This window comes from Homo sapiens, chromosome 1 (genome assembly GCF_000001405.40).
Source record: "Homo sapiens chromosome 1, GRCh38.p14 Primary Assembly".
In the NCBI taxonomy this organism is placed as follows: domain Eukaryota; kingdom Metazoa; phylum Chordata; class Mammalia; order Primates; family Hominidae; genus Homo; species Homo sapiens.
Window position 1 is genome coordinate 79,230,971 of NC_000001.11, and position 6,795 is coordinate 79,237,765.

Here is a 6,795-nt window from a genome sequence, read left to right on the forward strand (position 1 = left end):
AATTCTAGTCAGACCGGTTCTCTGCTCTTGAACCCTGTTTCCTGTAAAGATGTTTATCAAGACAATGAGTGCACACTGGGACATAGACCCTCATCAGTAATTCTAATTTTGCCTTCACCTTGTGATCTTTATTGCTCTTTGAAGCATGTGATCCTTGTGACCTACTCCCTGTTCATACACCCTCTCCCATTTTAAAATCCCTAATAAAAACTTGCTGGTTTAGCAGCTCGGGGTCGCCATCACAATCCTACCAATATGTGATGACACCCCCAGAGGCCCAGCTGTAAAATTTCTCTCTTTGTACTCTTTCTCTTTATTTCTCAGACCGGCCGACACTTAGGGAAAATAGAAAGAACCTATGTTGAAATATTGGAGGCTGGTTCCCCTGGTATTGAAGTGCTGTTGAAAGAAGGGCAGATTTGGGAATGGAACCAGAAATGTCTGAAAAATTTGGGACCATCCCTAAACCTGGAATTTACCCACTTACCAATGTCTACATTGTTTACACTAAAATTCCTTTGTTCTCCAAAGACACAAAGTTGAACATTAGATTTGTTTACTGAACATGTTAATCTGTCCTAAGGTGAAAGGAATATAATAGAAAAAGCATAAAGTACCGAGGGAAGAACCATGAATGTGTTGCAATCACTGGAACAGATATCCCTAATTCCCTGGGGCTGAAGTTAAAAGTGCTTTGAGGAATTGGAGAAAACTTCTAGGGATCCATCTATATGACAGCTGTTTGAAGCAGTGTGTCACATGCATGAGCATGGCCCCCTCCTCTCTGTATGAGAGGTACAACTTTGCCACACCACAGCCACATTCACAAGGAAGAGTTATGCTGCTTCATGAAACTTAAATGATGGTATATGGCAGCCAGGCATCCTAATTACAAATGGTAAAGTAGGTTCCAGCTAGTTTAAGCAGAAAAGGTTTTACAAAGGCATAGTGGATAGTTTTATGAAACATCAGGGAAGGCCAGAGAACCAGATTTGGTTTTTAATGTCAGTAAAAAAAAAATGCCCAACCACACCATGGGACTCTTCTAATGGAAACAGCTGTGAAGTTGATACCCACACTTAGGAACCTTGGACTTGTCTGGACGCCAATATCCCATGCTGTCCAAAAAATCCGATTTCCCTTTGACCAGCTGCCACCTTATGCAGGTGCATGTGATTGGAAGAAACTGATCACAGGCCTGCAGCCTAGCTGGAAGGGAGTCAATAGGGTGTTGTTTTTAGCTTTCCAGCCTACATTGTAAAGAAAAGAAAACTAGAAAGATGTTGAAACGTATGCTAAGTAAGCCAAATTTCAGGATCCTGTTATCTTCGTAAGCTGAGAATATACATCACCTCAGGACCACTATTGTACAAATTGATTGTAGAACATGTGTAATGTCAAATAATAACAATAATAATGGCAATCATCATCTTTCATATAGCACTTATTGTATACAAGTTCCTGCTTTCAGCCTTTTAGCTGTTTTAATTTACTTAATCCTTAAAAATATGGTATAAGTACAGTACTCATTTGCATTTTATAAAAAATGAGGCACAAGAGGCTTAGTTAGTTGCCCCAGATCATGTACCTGTTCAATGGCAGAAGCAGGCAATGGGTCTTGGCAATCCATCTCCAGAGGCCATGACCTGCACTGCTAGCCCATGCCTCCTTTCATGCACAGAGGGAGGGGACTCTGACAACTAGGGAGGAAGCAGGAGTTACAAAAGCTCTCTGGTAATCAAAATCAGTTAACCCAACTTTACTTGCTTTGGAAAAAAAAAAAAAAAAGCTCTGAACTAGAATTTGGCCCAAACTGGAATTCAACCATAGAATACAGAGCAAACCTACCAAGTAAAGGAATTTTTTTTCTTCTAGGACACAATGAAGGTTGTGCAGCTTGACTGTGCTGTGCTGTGCAGGTTGGCAAGAAGCAGTCTTGTTATTTCTATTTCTCCCAGCCCAGTCTTTTTGCTTTACTGACATAAGAAAACTTGACTGCTGGCATAGCAGAGTAATGTTTCTAGGAAAGGTCAGGGGATATTGTGTTCTGCCTCTTGACATCATCAAGGCAATCTCTGGCCTGACTGTAATTACAGATCTTTATCAATGGCCAAGAGAAGAGAAGGTAGGAATGCAGTTTGAGTTTCAAATCCCAGGGTGCTCATGTAACATAAAAAATTGAGAAAAATAATCTCTGACTTGTAAACTGAGAAAATTTGAAATGGAAATCATTGAGATAAAACAAATATTGACTCTCAGTCTAACGGTTTATAACTACATTTTAAAAATGCATCAGCTGGATTTGCTAGGACAGCAATAGCTGCCTTTTCCTATTTGATGTTTTTATTGTCTGATTTTGATGTGAAATTTTTGTCCTTTGATGTCTGGATTGTGAGAACACATATGCCTGTTAATTACTTTATTTAGAAATACTATTGTTCAGATGTTAGCATGGTTCATGCTTGGACGTCCTAGGGACAATAAGGCTCTCTAGGGGGTACTTGGTCTGATGAAAATGTTGTTCCTGAATGATCATTTCTTCCTTGCATAAGTGTGCTAATAAATACCACTAATGAACATATTAAATATGGTTCTTCCTCCATTATGTACTAGGTCACCCCTAAACATATCACAGATTCATTTTACTTACAAAATGGAGCCATTTATAATATTTCCTCTTTAGAGTACTTTACTACTTTAGAGATTTTCTGTTGAAAAACTATTTATTACTTTTCCCCCATGTGGAATGATTAAAAATATTAGAAAGATGTAAATCTGAATATCATCAGAAAGAAGAGAAAAAAGTGAAAAAATAGCATAGAAAAAGATATAAACATTTTGGTAAGGTCACTAATAAAATTTGTTTTCTATTCAGTAGGTAAAGAGAAGAGCTTTAAATACTGTATCCATGTAACATTCTTATAATGTACAGTTCTTTGCCTTCAGTAAATACATTTGAGCCAAGTCAAATCGTGTTCCAAGGGAGTATAATTTAAGAACAACTTTGTTAGGAAACCCATCAAGATAGTGTAGTTACACAGATGTTTTCCTGGTGGTAGAATAGCTGCATTCTAAAACATTGAAGGAGGAAGGATTGCCTTACATTCAGCAAATACATAAGAACATTCAATAGGCAGCTTGGTTGTTCTAAAGGTAGACATTCCTGTTGCCCCTATGCATTCTTGTTTACTATAGTCCTTTTATTCTATAAGCAGATGACATCAACATATGTGCACCAACTTTTAAAAAGCTATAGCAGGCTTTCTGAGTCATATTTCTATGACCTGTATTCTATTATATCATGTGGCATCAATACAAACATAACTGATAGTAATGGAGCTGCTTTGGTGAAATCTTTTGGCTAATTTTATGTTTTCTGATGCAAAGTAGAACATTATCTCTTCCTGTTTAAGCTCTATATCTCACAATTAAATAAGAGTTTACAAAGATTTCTATAATCTCTCACTTATTTTTACCCATATAGATTTTAAACATAACCTTAAAGAAACCTTGAGACTTTTGGAAGATATGTCATTAGGATAATTTTAAGTCACATAGCAAATCAGAAGAGTGAAATGTAAGAAGACATGAGAAATACCTTTTCTGTTTTAATAAGTAAGCATCTAGAAAGACTGCATGTTCCTGATTAGAAAGTAAGACTATTTTGCAAGCAAGGGAAATATAAAAAGACAGGAGAAAGAGTTCCTTGGAGTGTTTCATCATTTACCAGACAGTCCTTTGAATGGTAACCAATAAAAGCAGGCTATCACTATTAGCACCATTCATTACATCGCTAGAACATATTGATTACTTGGTTTTCAAGAAAATTACATAATAAATTCAGACTTGATTCACCATTTCCTTTTTCTATATTTGTTCTGATTTGCTGTTGAATCCATTTTTTATACATTTAACTCTGACTGTTTTCTCTATAGAGGAATGTGTGTTTCACATAATGAGCAGGATCGAATTTGCGTTCAGATTATTAATGGATTGGTAACAACTGTCACTGTGCCATTCTTCTCTCAACAGCTGTTTATATTTTATTTAAAATCTGTAAAAACATTTTCATGTAGTACCTTGATCTGTATAATAATTTCCTTTTGTTCCAAGCTGTTGAAGGTGTCTTTGAACCCACTAGAAACTATTCATCTATTCCTTCAAGACAGGTTCACTTTCATCATAAAAAATGAACATCATGAAAAATGAACTCTGAAATCAAAGTAAGAAAACAAAGGTGAGTGAACTCTACAAGGCAATAGAATAAAAGTCGAGGCAGCTGCTGAAAATGATCAGTCACTATTGTTCTAACTCACTCTTGATTTGTACCACGAAGCAGTCTTGGTGCACTACACCAAATCTTTTCCTGTTACCTTTTGTGTTCACTCACTGCTTACAGCCTTTCTAAAAATTCAGCTCACTGTTTGTCACAGTCAGGAACAAGTCTGTTAAGCTCCCCTAGTTGATAAGTAGGCGTTGTTACTTATGGATATCCTGTTGTGCTTGCCTCCTGTAGTCTTGAATTTTCTTATTGTTCAAGCCAAAATGATCTCAGAACAGCATTCTTTGTAAAATACAATGTCTACTTAAAAATTTGTCAATGTGCTTCTAAAAATAACTTGGATATGAGTACAAATGACTGTCCTCTCCACATGCTTCGTAGTGATTAAAGTAAAACCAGAAAAAAAAAAATCTTCCAAATGGAAAAAGGAGGCAGAGCACATCCTACAAATTGCTATATAACCCACAAAATGCCATGAAAAGAGCTTCCTTTGTGAAGCAAAGGATGAATAAAAGCATGTGAGTCCAAAATATGCAAGTAGAGAAAAAAATAAAGAGACAAAAGCTTTTACTGCTTTGTCAATACAGGATATGAATAAGTTGAACTGGGTGAGCTGGGGGTAGGGTGTAAGGAAGAAGAGAAAGGCTGAGGAGAGAAGACTGAACAACAGACGTCTGAGAGAACAGGGAGGTTTTGAGCATGCACATTTACAAATAATCTTTCTCTAGTACAAGCAGAAAGTATTCCTTTTTATTCACTTTATGTAACAATCCCTGTTTTATGGGGAACTCTAGAATCAAATTGTGAGGGATTTCTTGAGTCATATTTAATACCATTTTCCCATGACGTTTTAGATGCAAAGATTCCAGATATTTATTAAGAATCAGATCATGATTTTCATGATATTTAACATCTTAAAGCATTCTTTGTGTACAAAGTAGTTCTTCCTTGTACTCAGAAAACTGCTGCTCATCAGTGAAGGGAGGTGAGAAAGACTGGGTTTAAGGAAACGAGGCTTCAGGCTGCAAAAGGAGATGCATGAGTCTACCATCTAAACAAAGCCCAAGAAAAAATAGCAAAATATTTCCAAAGAGAAGTATGTTTATTTGTAGCCTCAGGAGAGGCAATTTATGTGCCAATAATTTACGTGGGTTTTATGTGCCTATTAGTTTCCTATTCAATCAAAAAATGTGTACTTACCATGGCAACACCCATCTCTCCTGATACGCAGTCTAATTGTGAATCATGCAGAGCACCTTCTTAAAGCAACACACAAACAAGCCATCAGATCCCAATACATGCAAATTTCTTTAAAACATATCATTGGAACAGATGTGCTCCAAATGCTATTTTTATTTTAGAAATGCTTTTTGTAGTTCACATGTTAATGGTAATTCTGAGTTTAAATGAGCTATTTAAAAATCAAGTTGCAAAATAGTAAGCACCATAAACTTACAAGTGATCTTTAAAAAAGAAATATGTCCATTTATTAAAGAGTCAATTTTCTAAATTAGTTGTTCTATTAGTTATAAGGTAATTAGGTTATCTTCTGTTTCCTCAAAATATCTGTTTTTATTTTCTCTGCATAATTGTAATCAAATATATTAATGGAAAGAGATGGTTAAAAATTTGCTCCTCTTCATTTTTTTGTCTTTATTTTGATGGTCCCTATCTTTGTAAATATTCTGGTTATTACATTGATACATTGGATGAGATCTATTTAAGAACTTTGGATGGCTTTAGAAGAATTCAGATTATTTTCTATTTTAAATTATTCAGTTTGCATACATATTTGTACATAATGCAAATGCTTCCTGTTATCTTCAATATATTTGGAATATACTGTTGCTGAAATAATTAGATAGCTTAGTGGCCAAGAGCAGAGGTTCTACATCCTAACTGTTTGTGTTTGATTATAAATTCTACTGTTTAAAAGCTGCAGACATTAAGCAAATTATTTAGTCTTTCTTTGGGCCTCCTTCTGATTGATTGTAAAAATAGGATAACTAACCTCATAGGGCTGTTGTGGAAATGGCATGAATTAGTATATATCTGGCATATAATATGTTTGCAATATGTTAGCAAAAATGATTGGACCATAATCTAATATGTCTAGCAGTTTATATAGTACTTATTTAAATAAGACATTATAAAGCTTACCTTATATACTATACAAAGCCATATAAATAGATAATTTCACTGTAAAATAGCCTTTTATGACAAAGATGAGTTAATTTCCTACATCTTCTGTCATAGTTGTTAGACAAATTCTCTGAGCCTAGTTTTTTCATTAATAAAATAAGGATAATAACATGTAGCCTTATAGGATTGTTATGGGGAGTCAATAAAATAATATAAATCAAATTTCAATGCAGTGAAAGGCATATGATACTCATTCAATGAATAATGGTTTTCTTAAACCTGTAGCACAATCGGTTTATAATTGAAGGTACTTTCTACAATAGAGAGTAAAATACATATGTCTACATAATATTTTAAAGTATTGAATATGT

General features: G+C 35.0%; 1 annotated feature.

The window, feature by feature from the left end:
* Positions 4,334–4,628: a silencer, noted in NCBI's record as "tiled region #6537; HepG2 Repressive non-DNase unmatched - State 24:Quies". NCBI's record gives its function as "represses a minimal TATA promoter and a strong SV40 promoter by Sharpr-MPRA in HepG2 cells {active_cell/tissue: HepG2}" and the evidence as "EXISTENCE:reporter gene assay evidence [ECO:0000049][PMID:27701403]".